Source organism: Homo sapiens, chromosome 16, assembly GCF_000001405.40.
Source record: "Homo sapiens chromosome 16, GRCh38.p14 Primary Assembly".
NCBI lineage: Eukaryota > Metazoa > Chordata > Mammalia > Primates > Hominidae > Homo > Homo sapiens.
In genome coordinates, this window is record NC_000016.10 from 77,721,254 (window position 1) to 77,742,294 (window position 21,041).

At 43.3% G+C, this 21,041-nt stretch overlaps 1 protein-coding gene across 4 annotated transcripts, besides 2 other annotated features; it reads left to right on the top strand.

Annotated features, from left to right (window-relative positions):
• Nucleotides 1,099–1,393: an enhancer, noted in NCBI's record as "tiled region #41; HepG2 Activating DNase unmatched - State 1:Tss, and K562 Activating DNase unmatched - State 1:Tss". NCBI's record gives its function as "activates a minimal TATA promoter and a strong SV40 promoter by Sharpr-MPRA in HepG2 and K562 cells {active_cell/tissue: HepG2 | K562}" and the evidence as "EXISTENCE:reporter gene assay evidence [ECO:0000049][PMID:27701403]".
• Nucleotides 1,107–1,236: a silencer, noted in NCBI's record as "silent region_7734". NCBI's record gives its function as "represses an Ori minimal core promoter by ATAC-STARR-seq in GM12878 lymphoblastoid cells {active_cell/tissue: GM12878}" and the evidence as "EXISTENCE:reporter gene assay evidence [ECO:0000049][PMID:35858748]".
• On the top strand, nucleotides 1,261–21,007 carry NUDT7 (nudix hydrolase 7). 4 transcript variants are annotated; one of them, NM_001243657.2, is made up of 5 exons: nucleotides 1,261–1,364; nucleotides 4,178–4,331; nucleotides 14,575–14,733; nucleotides 15,397–15,490; nucleotides 20,329–21,007. In NM_001243657.2, exons 1-5 carry the CDS (start codon nucleotides 1,330–1,332, stop codon nucleotides 20,397–20,399), a joined length of 513 nt encoding a protein of 170 aa, NP_001230586.1. In that variant the 5' UTR covers nucleotides 1,261–1,329; the 3' UTR covers nucleotides 20,400–21,007. The 4 variants fall into 4 exon arrangements, with proteins under 4 accessions (NP_001230586.1, NP_001230589.1, NP_001099133.1 ...); NM_001243660.2 differs by lacking the exons at nucleotides 14,575–14,733; nucleotides 15,397–15,490 and adding an exon at nucleotides 14,141–14,254; NM_001105663.3 differs by lacking the exon at nucleotides 15,397–15,490.

Here is a 21,041-nt window from a genome sequence, read left to right on the forward strand (position 1 = left end):
CACTGCAAACTCCGCCTCCCAGGTTCAAGCGATTCTCCTGCCTCAGCCTCCTAGTAGCTGAGATTACAGGCGCCTGCCACTGGCTAATTTTTGTTTTTTTAGTAGAGATGGGGTTTCACCATGTTGGCCAAGCTGGTCTCAAACTCCTGACCTTAGGTGATCCACCCGACTTGGCCTCCCAAAGTGCTGGGATTACAGGTGTGAGCCACAGCGCCTGGCCCAGAGTCCACATTTTTAACAGGACCAAAGTGATCCTGATTCTGCTGGTCTGAGGACCACACTTTGAGAACTACTGCTTTCAAGATGAGCTGCACTTCTATTTCCTCTACCAAGCCTCTTCTGTCTCCTAATTGGGTCACATTTCTCCTTCACACGCTCTAGAAGGACCAAAGGCCACTGCTTTATCAGTGTGATTTTTTTTTTTTTTTTTTTTTGCATTAAAAACTTCTTATCTTCTTCTTCTTATTTTTGAGACGGTCTACCTCTGTCAGGCTGGAGTGCAGTGGTGCTATCACGGCTCACTGCAGCTTCGACCTCCTGGGCTCAAGCGATCCTCCCACCTCAGCCTCTTGAGTAGCTGGGACCACAGGTGTGTGCCACCACGCCTGGCTAATTTTTTATTTTTATTTTGTAGAGATGGGGTTTCGCCATGTTGCCCAGGCTGGGCTCGAACTCCTGGATTCAAGTGATCCTCCCCTCTTGGCCTCCCAAAGTGTTGGAATTACAAGCATATGCCACTGCATCCAGCCCTGTGTGATTAATTTATGTTTCTACCATTTGACTGTGAGCTCCACGTGTCTTTTCGCTAGCTGTGGGATCTGCACCCAGTGCATACAGGTGGTCGGTGAACAGGTGCTGACAGCAGTTCCAAAAAGTTGAATGAATCACCTTAACCTTCCAGCAACAGCGAATGCGAGTGTAAAATATTATCACCTCACCAACACTGTATTTTTTTTTTTTTTAACTCTTCCAGCTCTAAATTCCACAACTCCTCCTATACCTCTTGCTTCCATAGAAGCCCAAGGAGCCCGGCAGAAACTGCTTTGAGCAACCAGGAACACCCGGCCCTAAGTCCCGCCCCGCGCCTCTCCCCACCTCAAGTCCCGCCTCTGGCTATAAGCCCCGCCCCGCCCCGATCCCGGCCTCCGATCCCAGATCTCGCACCGCCCCGCCCCCTGTCTCCGCCCCAGACACCACCCCGCCTCGTGCTCTAAGCCCCGCCCCTCTCTCTGGCTTTAGGCCGCTCCCAAGCCCAGAGCTGCTCTGCGCAAGCGCGACCGACCGAGCAGCTCCGAGGAGTCCGCCCGGAAACAAACATTCCCCAGGGCAATGTCACGACTTGGTCTTCCCGAGGAGCCAGTCAGGTAAAGGCTTTCCGGGCCCTGGCACCCCGAGCTTGGTCAGGCCCGGCCTTGATCGTAGCGGAGGCCACCGGGGCCTTTTGGCCGGGACTGATTTTGCAGCTCCCGCCAGTCCACCTGCGAGCGCCGGATGGGGGAGCACTCGCCTCCAGCAACCCGCAGGGTCCCCGAACCTTTGCACTGCTCTGGCCAGGAACAGAGCCGGCTTAAGCCAGTATGGTTTACATACACGCTGCTCCCCTTCCCAGCCGGCTTGGCTGTTCTGCAATCCGCGTCTCCAGAGTTGGACCCCAGGACCCCCGACAGTGGCACAGACCCGCAGCAGGCAGCCCCGGATTCAAGTCCCCCGGTGGCTACTTTCAGTTGTGACCTTGGGTCTGTCAGTTTCGTAAACTCTCTGAGCCTGGAGGTGACCCTGTGATCACTTGCCGGGCTGTTGTGAGGATAAAATGAGAAACGTCAAAATTGAGACCATGCTCAGAACGGGGTGGCTGCTACTGCTGTTGATACCTTGGTGATTATTCCAGCGGCCAGCCCCTAAAGTGGACAGATAACGTTTTTGCAGCCTTTTACTTTGGCTGGTTTGTCTGGTCAGTTCTGTGGTTTCCGGGTGGTTAAAAGCCACCAGCCCACAGTTTCCTTTTCTGGAGGCTGGCCTGCGTGCATCCAGATGCACTGTGCAATCCCTGTGCCAGCATTCACTGATTTTTTTCAGGCCATTTGGTCTTTGAAATACACTGCCGTTACCCAACCACATCTGGTGAGCACCCTGCCACCTAGAAAGAGGCAAAAAATAGCAAATACCTCCTGCAAACAACTGCTTATCTAATGATGGGGAGATTTATGACAGTGGTTACCATTCCCTGAGCACCAGCTGTGTGCCAGCCACAGTATATGAACTGCATCATTTAATCTTCTTAAATATCCTCAAGCCTGACACAAATGAAGATGAAACTCAGAGAAGTCATTTGTATACACTTTTTTTTTTTTTTTTTTGAGACAGAGTCTCACTCTGCCGCCCTGGCTACAGTGCAGTAGGCAATCTCGGCTCACTGCAGCCTCTGCCTCCTGGGTTCAAGCGATTCTCCTGCCTCAACCTTCTGAGTAGCTGGGATTACAGGCATGTGCCACGATGCCCGGCTAATTTTTGTATGTTTAGTAGAGGTGGGGTTTTACCATGTTGGCCAGGCTGGTCTCGAACTCCTGACTTCAAGTGATTCACCTTCCTCAGTCTCCCAAAGTGCCGGGATTACAGGCATGAGCCACTGTACCAGGCCTCCTATATACATTTGAAGCCAATTCTGGGTATCTTAAATAGCTGATTCTGCCCACTATGCAAAGCTGCCTTCCCACAGAAAAAGTAAAATCAGCTGTTCCTTTTCTAGGGCTGCCATAACAGAGTACCACACACTGGGTGTTTTAAAACAATAGAAATGGTCTCTCATGGCTATGAAGCCTGGAAGTCCAAAATCAAGGTATCGGCAGGGCCTCACTCCCTTAGAAGGCTCTGGGGGTGACCTTTCCTTGCCTCTTCCAGTTTCTGGTGGTTTCTGGCATTCCTTGGCTCACAGCAGCATCACTTCAACCTCTGCCGCCATCTTCACATGGTCTTCTTCCCTGTGTGCATCTCTCCATGTTTTTTCTTCTTTTATTTTATTTTATTTTTGAGTCAGGTCTCACTCTGTCACCCAGGCCGGAGTGCAGTGGTGCAATCATGGCTCACTGCAGCCTTGAACTCTGGGGCTCAAGTGATCCTCCCACTTCCGCCTTCCAAGTAGCTGGGAATACAGTTGCATGCCCCATGCCTAAGCTAATTTATGCTTTTTTTTTTTTTCTTTTGTAGAGACAGGGTCTTACCATGTTGACCAGGCTGGTTTCAAACTCCTGGGCCCAAGCAATTCTCCCGCCTCAACCTCCCAGTGTTGGGATTACAGGCGTGAGCCGCTGCACTGGGCTCGTTTCTGCTTCTTATCAGGACAACAGTCATTGGATTTAGAGCTCACTTTAATTACATCTGAAAAGATCCTATTTCTGAATAAAGTCACACTCTGAAGTTTGGGGTAGACATGAATTTCAGGGGTGAGGGGATACTGTTCAACCCACTATACAAACTAGCAGTAGAACACACCTGTCAAAAGGACCAAAACAAGTCCACATAGGAAGGGCACCATTTGCGGTTTTAAATCCAAATGCTTGCATATTATTGGGAAATTGTTCTCAGAATGTGTTCCCCTGTCCACAGCGTCAGTAACGCTGTCATGAGGGAGTTTGATACAAATGCTAATTCTCAGGCCCTACACCAGAGTTACTGAGTCACAGTCTGGGACTGAACCTCGCAGTCTATGTGACAGCCAGCGCTCCAGGTGATTCTGTTGCTGCTAAAGCTTGGGAACCACTATTATAAGCAGTTGAAGACATAAGAGTTTGAGAACATAAGGGCCAGCTTAACAGAAGGTAGTCTTCTAACCTTCTAACCTTAACAATGACTTTTTCATCAAACCTGTCTTCTCTGAATATAATTATGGGTTTCAAAATTCAACTGTTGCATTATTGAAAAAACATTTTACCATACTTTATGTTTCAAAGAGAACCTGTGTACTAAACTGTGTGCTTAGAAGGTTTTTTTGTCATTTTCATCTTGCGAACAACCACGCAATTTAGATAGTATCATTTCTGTCGTGTTATTGAAAAATACACAGAGAGTCAGAAATGGCAAACTCCTAAATACACAACAAAGCAGAAACAGAGGCAGGACTATAAGCTTTTTACCATAACTCTGCTTGCTAAAATGTCTGTCTGGTTTGTTTTTATTTTAGAAACAGTTTGCTAGATGATGCTAAGGCCCGCTTAAGAAAGTATGATATTGGAGGCAAATATTCTCACTTGCCATATAACAAATACTCCGTCCTTTTGCCATTGGTGGCTAAAGAAGGAAAACTCCATTTGTTGTTCACCGTCCGGTCAGAGAAGGTAGGTGGACAAAAAATTTCCTGCCCTTAAACCTCAGGACATCAGAAGACCTCACGAGATTTTGTCACTTGCACACACTTTGATGCCAAAATTCTCAAAAGGGCTTTCAAAATTGTGATGTCAGAGGCATACAACCACAAGCCACAGGATAACATGGTGTTTCTTGGAGAAGGTTTAACAAGAAAATGAAGGAATTTAGCTAGCAAGCAGTTTAAAACGCTTTCACACTAGGGTTACCTAACCTTGGTGCTATTGGCATTTGGGGCTGAATAATTCTTTGGTGTGGAGGCTGTCCTGTATAATGTGGTGTGTTTACCATCATCCTTGGCCTCTACCCACCAGATGCCAGTAGCACACACAAACACAAGCTCACACACACCTTTGTCCCTTTGTCCAGTATGCCAGTAGCACACACACCACAAATGTCTTCAGAATTGCCTACTATCCTGGCAGGATTGGGGGTGCCAAATTGCCCCCCACCAAGGGCCACTGTTTTAGACTATCCCACCCCCAGTATAATGTGAAAATACTAGAGCATAGAAGTTAACGGCCTAGGCTCTAAAGCTAGCTGTCCACGTTGAATCCAGGCTCTCTCCTTGCCAGCTGTGACTTTGGCCTCGTTACTTGCCCTCTCTGTACTTCAGTCTTTTCACTTGTAAAATGAGGACAAAATATTAGTAACTGCTTCATACAGCTGCTATGAACATTTCACAGGGTAACAAATGTAAAGCACCTATATAACCCAGGTACTTGGCAAGGAAGAATTCAGTAAGTTTTAGCTGTCATCGTTAGTGTCAAGTGACCTGTCAGACATGACCTGAAGTTTTAAGATAAATGATGTCACTTTACAGAAATAATGGGCTGGGAATGGAGTTTCTGGCTCACCCCTTGTATTGGTCCATTCTTGCATTGCTATAACGAAATACCTGAGGCTGGGTATGGTGGCTCAAGCATGTAATCCCAGCACTTTGAGAGGCCAAGGTGGGAGGATCACGAGGTCAGCAGTTCGAGACAAGCCTGACCAACATAGTGAAACCCCATCTCTACTAAAAATACAAAAGAATTAGCCAGGCATGGTGGCACACACCTGTAATCCCAGCTACTCAGGAGGCTGAGGCAGGAGAAACACTTGAAACCAGGAGGCGGAGGTTGCAGTGAGCCGAGATTGTGCCACTGCGCTCCAGCCTGAGGAACAGCGAGACTCCATCTCAAAAAAAGAAAGAAAGAAAGAAAAAGAAATATCTGAGTCTGGGTAATTTATAAAGAAAAGAGGTTTCATTGAGTCATGGTTCTGCAGGCTGTACAGGAAGCATGACACAGGCATCTGCTCAGTTTCTGGAAAGGCCTCAGGGAGTGTACCATCATGGCAGAGGGGGAGCAGGAGCAAGAGAGAGAGCAGGGAAATACCACACACTTTTAAATGGCCCCGGATCTCATGAGAACTCACTCACTATCATGGGGACAGTGCCAAGATGATGGTGCTAAACCATGCGTGAGAAATCTGCCCCTGTGATCCAGTCACCTCCAACCAGACCCCACCTCCAACACTGGGGACTCCAGTTCAACATGAGATTTGGGCAAGGACAAATATCGAAACTCTACCACCCCCACACCCGTGAGCACAGTCAGTTTCCCTTGCTGTGGGGAACTTCCAAGGAAAAGCTGGTGAAGCAGTCATTTTAAGCTTATCCAAGTACAAAAAGAAAATAAGCCATATTAACAGGCTTTTTAAGCAGAATAATGAAAAGTATTTTGTTTAAAAAAAAAATGCCAAGGAATCAGCTGGAGTTTTGTGGACGTGGAAGTAGACTTGTGTGGATTGTGTTCGGTCTGAGCCAGGCAGAAATGCCGTGAACTCAGGACATGATAGAAATCCAGGTTCCAGGGGGAAATACTTAAATGGAAACCAGGGGACCAGTGTCTGTTCCCACCTCTGCCAATAAGCACAGGAGAAGCACTTACATATATTTTTTAAAATTATCAGATATGGCCGTGTGCGGTGGCTCACGCCTGTAATCCCAGCACTTTGGGAGGCTGAGGTGGGCGGATCACCTGAGGTCAGGAGTTCGAGACCAGTCTGGCCAACATGGCGAAACCCTGTCTCTACTAAAAATACAAAAAATTAGCCAGGCGTGGTGGTGGGTGCCTGTAATCCCAGCTACTGGGGAGGCTGAGGCAGGGAGAATCACTTGAACCTGGGAGGTGGAGGTTGCATTGAGCCGAGATCGTGCCACTGCACTCCAGCCTGGGCAACAGAGCAAGACTCCATCTCAATAATGAATAAATAAATAAAAATAAATAAATAAATAAAAGAGAATTGTCTAACAAACAATAATATAGGAAATCTAGACAATACTACAAACTCAACCAACGGGGTCTCTAGTTTCTTTTGTTTCACCCAGAGCCACTTTTGCCTGTTGATTATTAAGGTCACTTTTTAAAAACTATTTAAATTTAATTCAATCTGATTGTAAACACTATCTGGCTGTAGGGGTGAGAAATTCCCTCTGGAGCTCTACTGGAGCTCTGCCCCTCACACAAGCAGGGCGCTGGTAGGAGATTTCCCCCCAGTGGATGGGGAAAGCAAGGCAAGAAGTGGGTTAACCCTTCTCAAATGTGCAATCTCCCACTAGCTCTGGAACCTCGAACAAGTTTTTCTTTTTTTTCAGAAGGATTCTCGCTCTGTCGCCCAGGCTGGAGTGCAGTGGCGTGATCTCAGCTCACTGCAACCTCCGCCTCTTGGGTTCAAGCAATTCTCCCACCTCAGCCTCCCAATTAGCTGGGATTACAGGTGCACGCCACCACGCCTGGCTAATTTTTGTATTTTTAGTAGAGAGGGAGTTTCACCATGTTGGTTGGCCAGGCTGATCTTGACCTCCTGATCTCAGGTGATCTGCCCATCTTGGCCTCCCAAAGTGCTGAGATGACAAGCGTGTGCCACCACGCCCAGCCTGCAAAGTTCGTAAATCTCTTAATCACCTCGGTTTTCTCATCCCTAAAATGGGCCTGAAAACAGCGCCTCATGTGCAAGGTTGTTCTGAGCCTGAAAGAGATCTGTAAAACGCCCAGCACGGCTGCTGGCATGCCATAGTGCTGCATGCTGTTGGATGCTACCTATGTTTTCGTTATCTCCTTGTCCGGGTCCACCTTGGATAAGGGACTCCTCTCAGAACCCTAGATCCCTGGTGCCCAGCAAAGAGCTGGCAAACCCCTTTCTCCATTGCACACCTGGGCACAGCCCTTCAGGCCTTCAAAGCCACCCACTTTATAGTTTTCAGGAATTAGCTGCTCTGCATTATCGGTCCTGCTCTTCTCCCCCACACCCTTGACCTCGCATCCCTCCTCTGTCCCCTCTTCTACCCTCCTCCACCCTCCTCCCTGCACCCCATTCTCTGGGACTGGAAGTAGGCAAGAGAAAATTCAGGAACAAAGCAAAGATTGAAGTCTTAGGAAATTAGGCTGCAGCTTTACTTGGCCTCTGAGTAGCATTTCAGAAGGTTTTATTGAATAAGAAATGTATACTATTTATCAAAAAAATAACTGACCGCTTTTGTGCTTAGAGCCCTTTGCAGTGCTAATAGTTTTTGATTAGTCAGTTTTAGAAATGTGCCTGTTTTCTTCAAAACAGCGTAATATTTTCTTTTTTAAAAACAAAATTAAATAGATTTATCTTTTTAGATTTAAATAGATTTAACTTGTAGAGATTTATCCTGTACAATATGATGCTTTGAAGTATATATTCACTGTGGAATGACTAAATCTAGCTAATTAATTTACTACCTCACATCATAGTAACATACTACTTCACATAGTAACATATCACCACACACAATACCTCACATAGTAACATATTACTATACATATTACCTCACATAGTAACATATCACCATATACATCATATAGTAACATGTCATCATACATATTTTCTTCAAAATAGCATATTTTCTTTAAAAAAAAATTTAGGCCAGGCATGGCTCACACCTGTAATCCCAGCATTTTGAGAGGCCAAGGTGTGGGGATCACCTGAGGTCAGGAGTTTGAGACCAGCCTGGCCAACATGGTGAAACCCCATCTCTACTAAAAATGCAAAATTAGCTGGGTGTGGTGGTGCACACCTGTAGTTCCAGCTACTCGCGAGGCTGAGGCAGGAGAATCGCTTGAACCTAGAAGGCAGAGGTTGCAGTGAACCGAGATTATCCCACTGCACTCCAGCCTGGGCAACAGAGCGAGACTCTATCTCAATAAATAAATAAATAAATAAATTTTAAATCAACAGATAAAATTGTATAGATTTATCCTGTACAACATGATGTTTTGAAGTATATATTCACTATGGAATGACTAAATCTAGCTAATCAATGTACTAACTCACATAGTAACATATTACCACACACATTACCTCACATAGTAACATATTAACACATATACTACCTCATATGGTAACATATCACCACACACATTACCTCACATAGTAACATATTAACACACATACCTCATATGGTAACATGTCACCACACATAACATACTATCTCACATAGTCATCATCTTTGCACTAAGAACACTTTATATCCATTCAGCAATTTTCAAGAATACAGTATGTTAACTATAGTTACCATAGTATACAATACATCTCTCGAATTTATTCCTCCTGACTGGCTGAAACTTTTTATCTTTTGACCAACATCTCCCCAACCTCCCCCCAAACCACCTCAGCAGCTAGTAACCACCATTCTACTCTCTACTTCTCTGAGACTGACTTTTTAATATTCCACATATGAATGAGATCATGTGGCATCTGTGACTGGCTTATTTTACCTAACATAATTTCCTCCAGGTTCATCCATGTTGTCACAAATGACAGGATTTCCTTCTTTTTTATGACTGAATAATATTCCTCTCTGTATATACATTTTCTTCATTCACTTGTTGATGGATACTCAGGTTGATTCCATGTCTTGGCCATTGTGAACAATGCTGCAGTAAACATGGGTGTGCAGAGACCTCTTCGATATACTGATTTCATTTCCTTTGGATATATAACCAGTAGTGGGATTGCTGGATCATATGGCAATTCTGTTTTTAATTTTTTGAGAAACCTCCATTCTGTTTTCCACAATGATTGTACTAATTTACATTCCCACCAAGAGTGTGTGATAGTTCCCTTTTTTCCATATCCTCAACAACACTTACGTTTTGTTTTTTAGATAATGGCCATTCTAAAAGGTGTGACGTAATGTCTCTCTGTGGTTTTAATTTGAATTTTCCTGGTGATTAGTGATGTTAAGCATTTTTTTCATATACCTTTTGAGAAATGTCTATTTAGTTCCTTTGTCCATTTTTAAATTTTTTTTTATTATTGATATTGAGTTGAGTTCCTTATATATTTTGGATACTAGCCCCTTTTCAGATGTATGGTTTGCAAATATTTTCTCCCATTCCACAGATTGTCTTTTCATTCTGTTGAGTGTTTCCTTAGCTGTGCAAAAGCTTTTTAGTTGAAGTAACCCCATGTTTTATTTTTGCTTTCATTGCCTGTGCTTTTGGGGTCATATTTTAAAAATCATTGCCCAGCTCAAGGATAACATTTTCTTGAGAGCAATGTTCTCACTAATCCAAAATGATCTTTTCCAATTCCTATTACCTATTAATTGGAATAGGTGTACAAGGCAAATTGAATAAAATTGGTATGCTATGAGATACTTTTGAAACCTTTCAAAATACAGTCATGTGCTGCAAAACTGTTTTTCCATCAATGATGGACCATGGACCATATATACAATGGTGGCCCCAAAAGATGATAATGGAGCTGAAAATTCCTATCACCAACTGACATCATAGCAGTCATAATGTCATAGCACAAGACATTACTCACATGTTTGTGGTGATGCTGGTGTAAACAAACCTACTGTGTTGCCAGTGGTCTAAAAGTGTAGCACATACAATTATGCACAATATATAATACTTGATAATGATAAAAAATGACATTTCTGGTTTATGAAATTTACTACACTATTCTTTTAAATCATTATTTTAGAGTGTTCTTCTTCTACTTATTTTTTAAAAATAACTATAAAGCAGCCTTAGTAAGGTCCTTCAGGAGATATTCCAAAAAACACAGGCATTGTTATTGTAGGAGATGAGAGCTCCATGTATGTTATTGTTGCCCCTGAAGACCTTCCAGTGGGACAAGAGGTAGAGGTAGAAGACAGTGATATTGATTATTCTGTGTGTTGTATCTTAGTTTTTAGCAAGAAAGTTTAAAAAGAAAAAAAAATCCTTAAAAATAGAAAAAAGCTTCTAGAATAAGGATATAATGAAAATATTTTGTATAGCTGTGTAATGTATTTGTGTTTTAAGCTAAGTGTTATTACAAAAGAGTCAAAAAATTAAAAATTAAAAAGTTTAGAAAGTAAGAAGTAATAGTAAGCTACAGTTAATTTATTATTTAAAAAAGAAAAAGGCCGGGGGGTGGTGGCTTATACCTGTAATCCCAGCACTTTGGGAGGCCAAGGTGGAGGGAACCATCTGAGGTCAGGAGTTCGAGACCAGCCTGGCCAACATGGCCAAACCTCATCTCTACTAAAAATACAAAAATTAGCCAGGCATGCTGGCGGGTGCCTGTAATTCCAGTTACTTGGGAGGCTGAGGCAGGAGAATCACTTGAACTCAGGAGTCAGAGGCTGCAGTGAGCTGAGATCCCATCACTGCACTCCAGCCTGGTCGACAGACGAGAACACGTCTCAAAAAAAAAAAAGAAAAAGAAAAATATTTTTATAAACATACTATAGCCTAAGTGTCTAGTATTTATGAAGTCTAGAGCAGTGTTTAATGTCCTAAGCCTTCACATCCACTCACCACCCACTCATTCACTGACTCACACAGAGCAGCTTTCAGTCCTGCAAGCTCCATTTATGGTAAATGCCCCATACTGGTGAACCATTTTTGATCTTTTATACCATATTTTTACTGTACCTTTTCCGTGTTTAGATGCACAAATACTTACCATTATGTTACTATTGCCTGCAATATCCAGGACAGTAAAATGGTATACAGGTTGTAACCCAGAAGCAGTAGCTACACCATATAGCCTAGGTTTATAGTAGTCTATATTATCCAGGTTTGTGCAAGTGCACCCTGTGTTGTTTACACGATGATGAAATCGCCTAATGCATTTTTCAGAACGTGTCCCTGTTGTTGAGTAACACGTGACTGTACATTTAAAACAGGCATCATATCAGGTCTGTTTCTGTCAAGCCTGATGACTGCTTGGAGGTGCGTTTGTCCCTGGCTGCCTTGGAGTTGAACGTTCTAACAATAAAGCACTGTTTCAGAGTTGCTGTAACATTAGGTGTATTTCTTACGCATTTGGTAAGACATATTTGCAGTCGCTGGTGAGTGTTCAAGACAGTAGAAATATGTCCATCAGCCTTCTTTTCACCTGTTTTTACAACTGTAATTGATGTGAAGATGTCTAAGGATTTAGCTATGGCAGCAATTTCTGCAGTGTTCCTGATTTATCAGCACAGAAGGACTTAAAAAAAAATTTTTAAGTCTTGCCCAAATGAGGCTGAAGCCTATAAAATATCAAAAAGTTTATCATGGCATTGTCATAGTCCTCTCAAGCTGCTATAACAAAACACCTTAGACTGGGTGGCTTATAAACAACAGATACTAATTCTCACAGTTCTGGAGGCTGGGAAGTCCAAGATCAAGCTGCCAGAAGATTTGGAGTCTGGTGAGGGCCCTGTTTCAGTTCATAGATAGTCATCCTTTCAGTGTCCTTACAGGGAAAGGGGCAAAGAGTCTGTCTCTGGTCTCTTTTATAAGGGCATTCATCTCATTGATGAGGGCTCTGCCCCCATGACCTAAACACCTCCCAAAGATCCCACCTCCTAATACCATCACCTTAGGGGTAAGGATTTCAACATATGGATTCATGGGAGAATAAACATTCAGGCCATTGCAGGCATCTAGTTTATCCTTACATAGATATATGGCCTAGGTGCTAAAAATGGCAACATGATCTCTTGATTGAGCTTCTCAATGTCCAGGACTGACCTTACAAGTTCTCATTATTAAATATTTAATGTGGCCACGCACCATTCCCGTGCATCCGCTCCATCCTCATGGAACAATCTTCACAGCTCTGTGAGGAGCACACTGTCATTACCCCATTGCACACAGTTGGAAAGAGGCAGACCCAGGACTCTTGCTGAGCCTGAGGGCTCCTTGACAATTCAGGAGAGAAAGGATAGTGGGTACTAGGCACAAGTGGGCATAAAAGAAATTGAGGTCACTCTGCTGAGATATTTGGCCCTGCAGAAGAGAGAACAGTGGAGGGTTTGTGCCTCTCCACTTCTGCCCAAGATATGAGAGAAATAATTTTAAAGACAGAGATAAGAAAGGGGGTAATTTTAGGATGCTATAGAGACACTGTCAGTTCTCCTAAAGGCAGGAAGGAATGGAATCAAGGAAGGGGGCAATGCGGGGAAAGAGGAGACCTCTTTTCCTTTACCAACACACGCAAAGATAAACATAGATGCCAACACAATGCTAATAGCTCCAGGGCCTATATTTTTTGTGTCTTACTAAACTTTTGATAAATGTGTGTTGTACTGATTAAAAACACAGGCTCGTAAATTAAACACTGGTTTATATTCCAGCTCACTGAGTGAACTTGGTCAGGTTATTTAACCTCTGTGAGCCTAAGTTCCTTTGTCTGAAAATGGAAATAATAATAGTATAAGAGTAGCTTATGGCTGGGTGCGGTGGCTCACGCCTGTAATGCCAGCACTTTGGGAGGCCGAGGAGGGCAGATCACGAGGTCAGAAGATCGAGACCAGTCTGGCTAACATGGTGAAACCCCGTCTCTACTAAAAATACAAAAAATTAGCCGGGCATGCTGGTGGGCACCTGTAGTCCCAGCTACTCAGGAAGCTGAGGCAGGAGAATGGTGTGAACCCAGGAGGCAAGGCTTGCAGTGAGCCGAGTTCGCACACTGCACTCCAGCGTGGGACACAGAGCGGGACTCCATGTCAAAAAAGAAAAGAAAAGAGTAGCTTACCTGCCCATCAATGCATGAGTGGATAAACAAACTGTGATCTATACACACAATAGAATACTATTCAGCCATAAAAAAGGAAGTACCAATACACGTAGAACATGAAGAACCTCAAAAACATATGTGAAGGGAAAAATGCCAGACACAAAAGTCGAGACTAGGTAAATCCACAGAGACAGAAAGCAGGGACAGAGGGAGAGGGGAATGAGAATCAACTGTTGTATGGGGTTTCCTTCTGGGATGATGAAAATATTCTGGAATGAGATAGTAGGGATGATTGTACAACACAGTAAATGTATTAAACGTCTCTGCTTTTTTTCACTTTAAAATGGTTACTTTTATGTGAATTTCACCTCGTTCAAAAATTAGTAGCTTATAGGACTGTTCTGAGGACCCAGTGGGAAAAATCTTTATGAAACAACATGCCCAGAACATAATAAGCAGCCATTAAAGGACTCAACAAAATTATCTGTTGATAATATTGCCCCTTACATTATTCTTTCAGCTTTTTCCCCCTAGCAGTGTCAATCTGTGTGTGTGTGATATGGTTTGGATCCTGTCCCCACCCAAATCTCATGTTCAGTCGTAAACCCCAATATTGGACCTGGGGCCTGGTGGGAGGTGATTTGATCACGTGGGCGGATTTCCCCCTTGGTACTGTCATCACAATAGTGAGTGAGTTCTCACGAGATAAGGTTGTTTAAAAGTGTGTAGCACCTCCCCTCCCTCTCTCTGTCTCCCGCTCCAGCCATGTGAAGTGCTTGCTCCTCCTTTACCTTCCGCCATGATTGTAAGTTTCCTGAGGTCTCCCCAGAAGCCAAGCAGACGCCAGCATCATGCTCCCTGTACGGCCTGCGAGACTGTGAGCCAACCAAACCTCTTTTCTTTATAAACTACCCAGTCTCAGTTATTTATTTATAGCAGTGCAAGAACAGATTAATACAGTGTGTGGTATCTTTTGGGGACAAATAGAATAAAAGTTAGCAGTGAGAAAAATTTTCAAGGTTCATTTCTTAAAAAGGATTCAAGAAAACACATTTGTGGGCAATAGGGGTCTTGATACCACCACCTGGGTAAGAATGGTCTCTGGTACAAAATAGAAGTCCAGTAAGTATTTGTTGAATGCATAAATAGTTCCAAAATTAGAATCCCACATTGTAGCGCTGTTCTTTCTATATCCAGCTAAGAAGGGCCCCTGGAGAAGTTTGCTTCCCTGGAGGTAAGCGTGACCCTACAGACATGGATGATGCAGCCACAGCTCTCCGGGAAGCCCAGGAGGAAGTGGGTCTCCGTCCTCACCAAGTGGAAGTTGTCTGCTGCCTGGTGCCATGTCTTATTGATGTAAGGGTTTCCTGAGACACTCATGAGCACCGTCCCCACCCCCAGGTGGATCTACTGTTCTCAGGATTCCACATTTTCCAAACATAACCCCAAAGAGTACTGTACATAAAGTCAAGAGAACAGGTTCTCCTACAGACATTGCCCCTCATGAGTCAAGTGGCTATGGGCAACCCCTTTTGCCTCTCCGGACCCCTCTTTCCCCATCCAGAAATAAAAGGGTTGAACTCCCATCAGTGGATTTCAAACTGGATGCCATAGAACCCTAGAGAGATGCTTCAGAATTATTAACATTCAGTTCACATTTATTTTTCTCCAGTATACATTGGTTTTGAGAGTTCAGTTGAAAAAAGAACAGACACTCCAATGTGCTAGATACCAAATTTTAGCCCCTTGGAGACCACCAATGCATTACTTCTGCCGTAAGGATATTCATTTTTCTACATACTATAGAATAAAGCCTCTCTGTGATACATTAATTGAATAGAACCGTGAAATCACTAGGCAAGCTATTTAAAAACTATTACTATTCATAACTGCATTTGTGTTGGATCAGGATTTCCTTGATAGTATAATATACATCAAAACATTTAAAATATTTTTAAAAATGAATTTTGGAGCTGAGATAACCACATCTTATTTTCTTTTTTATTTTTTTTTTTATAGAGATGGGGGTCTCGCTATGTTGATGAGGCTGGTCTCGAGCTCCTGGCCTCAAGTGATCCTCCCACCTCAGCCTCCCAAAGTGCTGGGATTACAGGTGTGAACCACTGTGCTCAGCTTCTGATCTTACTTTCTATCGGTTCACCACAACAACCTCATTGTTTTACTAACTGACTTTAGAAGGGGTAAATATTGTATTAAGAAGTATGATCTTGGATAACAGCATGATTTTACCATATAAATGTTTTAATAAAACCTTTAATTTTAATTTCAGAATAGCTGTAGGCTGATGGAAAAGTCGTGAAGGTAGTACAGAGAGTTCTTATGTAGACCTAGTTTCCATATGACCACATGGAAACCATAGGAAACTAGACCATAGGAAACTAGACCATAGGAAACTAGACTATAGGAAATTAGACCATAGACCTAGTTTCCCCTGTGGTTGACATCTTACATCACTGTGTACATTTGTCACAACAAAGAAACCAGTGTCAGCATGTTACTGTTAACTGAACTCCATGCTCTGTTTGCTTTTTACTAGTTTTTCTACTAATGTCCTTTCTGTCCTGGATCTCATCTAAGATACCATATTGTATTTTGTGGTCATGTCTCCTTAGTCCTCTGGTCTGTGATAGTTTATCAGACTTTCTTCTTCTCATGACCCTGACAGTTTGGAGATGTAGTGGTCAGGTATTTTATAGAATGTTCCCCAATTTTGGTTTGTCTGATATTTTTCTCATCGTTAAGCTGGGGTCATAATTTGGGAACACCACAGAGGTGAAGTGCTCTCATCACACAGTATCAGAGGTAGGTATAAACTTTTCATGGTTTTTTTTTTGTTGTTGTTGTTGTTTTTTTGACACAAGTCTCGCTCTGTCGCCCGGGCTGGAGTGCAGTGGTGCAAACTCGGCTCACTGCAAGCTCCGCCTCCCGGGTTCACGCCATTCTCCTGCCTCAGCCTCCCCAGTAGCTGGGACTACAGGCGCCCATCACCGCGCCCGGCTAATTTTTTGTATTTTTAGTAGAGACGGGGTTTCACCGTGTTAGTCAGGATGGTCTCGATCTCCTGACCTCATGATCCGCCTGCCTCAGCCTCCCAAAGTGCTCGGACTATAGACGTGAGCCACCACACCCAGCCTTAATGTTTTATATATTGGGCTTTCGGGTAAGTTTTTATTTCAAAAGAACAGTCCCACTGTTGCCTAACACTTAGAAAACCAGTGGGTTAGATGATCCTTTATGTTCCACTTGACTGAAGTCTTGGTGGGGCAGTGTTTTGAAGATCAGTGATGCTGAGACAATGTCTGTCTTAATTGGGTCCTTTTTAAAAATAGAAAGGTCAGTACCCAAGGGTGGTTTTGTTTGCAAAAAGCTAGTGGCCACTCAATAAATGTTTTCTAAGTGTGTGTGTATGAAAGCGAGATGGAGACATGGGATTACACACGAAATGTGTCAATTACTTTTCCATTTGGTTTTCTAATGGGAACTCTTTACAGTTGATTTCCGCAAATCCACCAGCATTTGGAGGATTTACTTTAGAAATCAATTAACTAATTTAGCTATACTGATTAAAAGTTTCCAAAATGAGACTAACTCTGTTCCCAAGGTCCCCAGGTGCTACTGAGTTCTGCATGTGGGTGGATAGAATTCAGGAGCATTAACAGGAAAGTGTCTCTGGGAGATTCCTGGGGGCCAGATACTCCTGGAACAGGAGATTTCTAAAATGGCGTGATTGAGAGATTAAACAAAGGCTTTAAAAAGTCTGCTTTGTTTGGAAGTGCAAGGGAGGGTTGCTTTGTTTTTTGGCCCCTGCTAATTTTTAAAATGTATCACAAAAATGCCATTTATTGAAAATTATAAGCATAATCTAATCTACGTGGCTCTTAACCTGGAGTGATTTTTCAACCCTGGGGAATTTGGTAATGTCTGGAGATCATAGCTGGGAGTGGAAGGGTGCTATTGGCTTTTCTCAAGTGATCTCGAGTCCCAGTGATCTCAGCTCACTGCAACCTCCACCTCCCAAGTTCAAGCAATTCTCCTGCCTCAGCCTCCAGAGTAGCTACCTATGTATGTATGCACCTATGTATGTACCCGCTACATAAGCCTTCCAGGCAGGCTGTGACACCACAACCCCCACCCCAGTTTTCCCTTTTGTCAGACATTTATGTACTACTTTTTGCAAAGGTCTCTGAAATATACCCAGGAGTATGAGCAACACATCTGTGGTCGAATCCAGTTTCTGCCAAGTATCAGCAGAATATGCCCTTGGGCAAGTTTCTTCACGTCTCTAATTGTAGTTGTTAAGGCTTCTTCGCGATCAGATTGTTGTAAGGAATCAGAGGGTGCTGGGAACTAGACTAGGTGCCCGTAAGTTGTGGTCACCAATGGTAGCAGCAACCACGAATATTTACTGAGCATACATTGTTGGGGCTCTGTCCAGGCCCCTTCATATTCCTCTTACAACCCCAGGGCTTCTGATAACTCACTGTTACCAGATAGGGGGCCTGATCCAGACCCTAAGAGAGGGTTCTAGGATCTCACAGGGTGAGTCCATAAAGTGAAAGCAAGTTTATTAGAGAAGTAAAGAAAAAAAAGAATGGCTATTCCATAACAGAGCAACAGCATGTGCTGCTGGTTGGCCATTTTTATGGTTATTTCTTGATCATATGCTAAACAAGGGGTGGGTTATTCATGAGTTTTCCAGGAAAGGGATGGGCAATTCCCAGAGGTGAGAGTTCCTCCCATTTTTAGACCATGTAGGGTAACTTCCTGACATTGCCGTGGCATTTGTAATCTGTCATGGCACTAGTGGGAGTATCTTTTAACATTCTAATGCTTTCTAATTATCGTATAATGAGCAGTGAGGATGACCAGAGGTTACTTTCATTGCCATCTTGGTTTTGGTGCGTTTTGATGGCCTTCTTTACTGTAAGGTCTTTATGACTTGTATCTCAGTCTCATCTGGTGACTAAGCATGCCCTAACCTCCTGGGAATGCAGCCCAGTAGCTCCAAGCCTTATCTTACCCAGCCCCTATTCAAGATGGAGTTGCTCTGGTTCAAACGCCTCTGACAACACTTGGCAGCTTTCTTCTGAATACTGGTACCCTTGATACTGGAGCCACCTTGCCATGTGTCCTGCACAGAGAGCTGGGAGTGCCTGTGAATTCACCTCTGGCAAGGTAGTCCTTAACCAGTGACTGACTGGGGCTGGGGAGCATGAAATCCCAGCTCCCTTGTCTCCATGTGGGACAAACTGCATATTAATTTACCCTCCAGAACACCCCATGGTGCCCTTGCCAGCCTTCTTCCCTTATGAGTATTGCTCCCCTCTTCCCCTTAACTGTTTCCCCTGGGAGCACTTTCTTAAAAAATCACTTGCATCTGAGTCCTTATCTCAGAGTCCACCTGGAAAACTCCATATTCAGAGACTAAGCATTTCCCCAATGCCAGGTGTGGTGTTACGTGCTGGTAGAATGTTGCCTCTGCCCTCGGGTAACTTAATGACCCCAAATTTCCTGCCCCAAGGACATACGAAGTCTATGTTCCTCTTGTCTCCTCCTGGTCCAAATGTTGACTTTCACTATTATTTTGGTTAATGGTCTGAGTTGTCTCTGTTCCTAAATTTGGTTTCCTGTCTTTGGCTGTCCCTCAGAACATTCTGCAGGCCGGATAGGTCCCAGCCTCACCATGTGTCTACCTCTCTGGCTTTTTCCACCCACTTCCTCTTGGGATGCTCCAGGAATTCCAGTTCTTCTCACTTTCTAATACAAAGGCAGGCAGCTCTTACCAGTTCCCACATCCTCACTCAGCCCCAGGCCTCCCTCTCAGGGTTTCCAGTATAACAAAACAGTCTTTCATTTGACAACACTCATGTTCATTTGCTTTTTTACTTTTATATATTTATTTTTATTTTTGAGACTGGGCCTCTCTCTGTCACCCAGGCTGGAGTGCAGTGGCATGATCTCGGCTCACTGCAATCTATCTCCGCCTCCCAAGTTCAAGCAATTCTCCTGCCTCAGCCTCCTGAGTAGCTGGGATTACAGGCACGCACCACCACACCCGGCTAATTTGTGTATTTTTAGTAGAGACGGGATTTCATCATGTTGGCTAGGCTGGTCTCAAACTCCTGACCTCAGGTGGTCCGCCCACCTCAGCCTCCCAAAGTGCTGGGATTACAGGCGTGAGCCACCACACCCGGCCACTCATGTTCATTTGCAAGCAGTTGTGGTTGTAAATAGAAATCCCTCTCCCATGTAATATATACATGTGTGTTATATAAAGTAGTTCACATATAGTTATATATAAGACACATAATTATATATATATGTGTATGTACTATGAAATTTTTCCATAAATGGGAATATGTCATAACTAGTATTATATCACTTTACTTTTCTGTTCATAAGTATAGCACATTTTTTTCTTTACTGAGAAGGAAAGATGTCTATCCCATTGTTTTTAAAGGCTACATAGTATCCTCTTTTATGGATATAACCCTAATTTATATAACCTAAATGCCTATAAAGTGAAGAGTGATAACTTTAGAATTTGGGGCTGTTGTTGAAACTAATTCTTCAGGTTTATACTTGTGTCTTTTCTTACTGGTAGGAATTTATCATACAGATACACAAATGCAATTCCCAGGTCAAAGCGAACACATTTTTATGATACTGCCAAATTGCCATTCCAAAAGATTGTACTACTTTATGTTCATACAAGAAATCATTTTCAGAGTCATCTCATAGATGTCACCTCAGGTAGAGCAGGATGACTCCCATTTTAGGGGGAACATAAATTTGTTTCCGGAATAAGCTTTCTTCCCCTTCTCCCAGGTTCGGTGTATTTTCTTAGCTCACCTAGAAGTGGCATGATTTTAGGATTTGAAGCAGTATCACTTCACTTCTTAATTTGTCTGTTTTGTTTTCTGCTTTTAGACAGATACATTGATAACTCCATTTGTGGGTTTAATAGACCACAACTTCCAGGCCCAGCCGAATCCTGCTGAAGTTAAGGATGTATTCCTGGTGCCTCTGGCCTATTTCCTGCATCCACAGGTCCATGACCAGCATTACGTCACACGTCTTGGTCACCGTTTTATTAATCATATCTTTGAGTACACAAACCCTGAAGACGGTGTCACTTACCAGATCAAGGGAATGACGGCAAACCTTGCAGTGTTGGTGGCCTTTATCATTTTGGAAAAAAAACCCACCTTTGAGGTTCAATTTAATCTTAATGATGTATTAGCATCCTCTGAAGAGTTATTCCTGAAGGTTCATAAAAAAGCTACAAGCAGGTTATGATTTACTAGAGCAAGAGACAAAGAACTATTCACGAGGATTCTGTGTGTGCTTATTCGTAGAACAACAACAATGCCAGCTGTTGGAATTTGACAGGTGTGAATATTTTTTCTGCAGTATGTAGTTAGAATCCTTGCCTCTTTTCCAGTTGCCTTCTATTGTCTGAAAAAGTAAAAGCCATTCAAAAATGAAAACTATGTTCATAGTGTTGCATATTTTCACCCACAATATGTTAATAATATTTTTCTTACACATATAATAAAGAATATCTGGCACATACTAGGCCCTTAATAAAGATTTTTTGAATATATAACCATGTGGCATTTACCTTATTTGCAGTAGGCAAT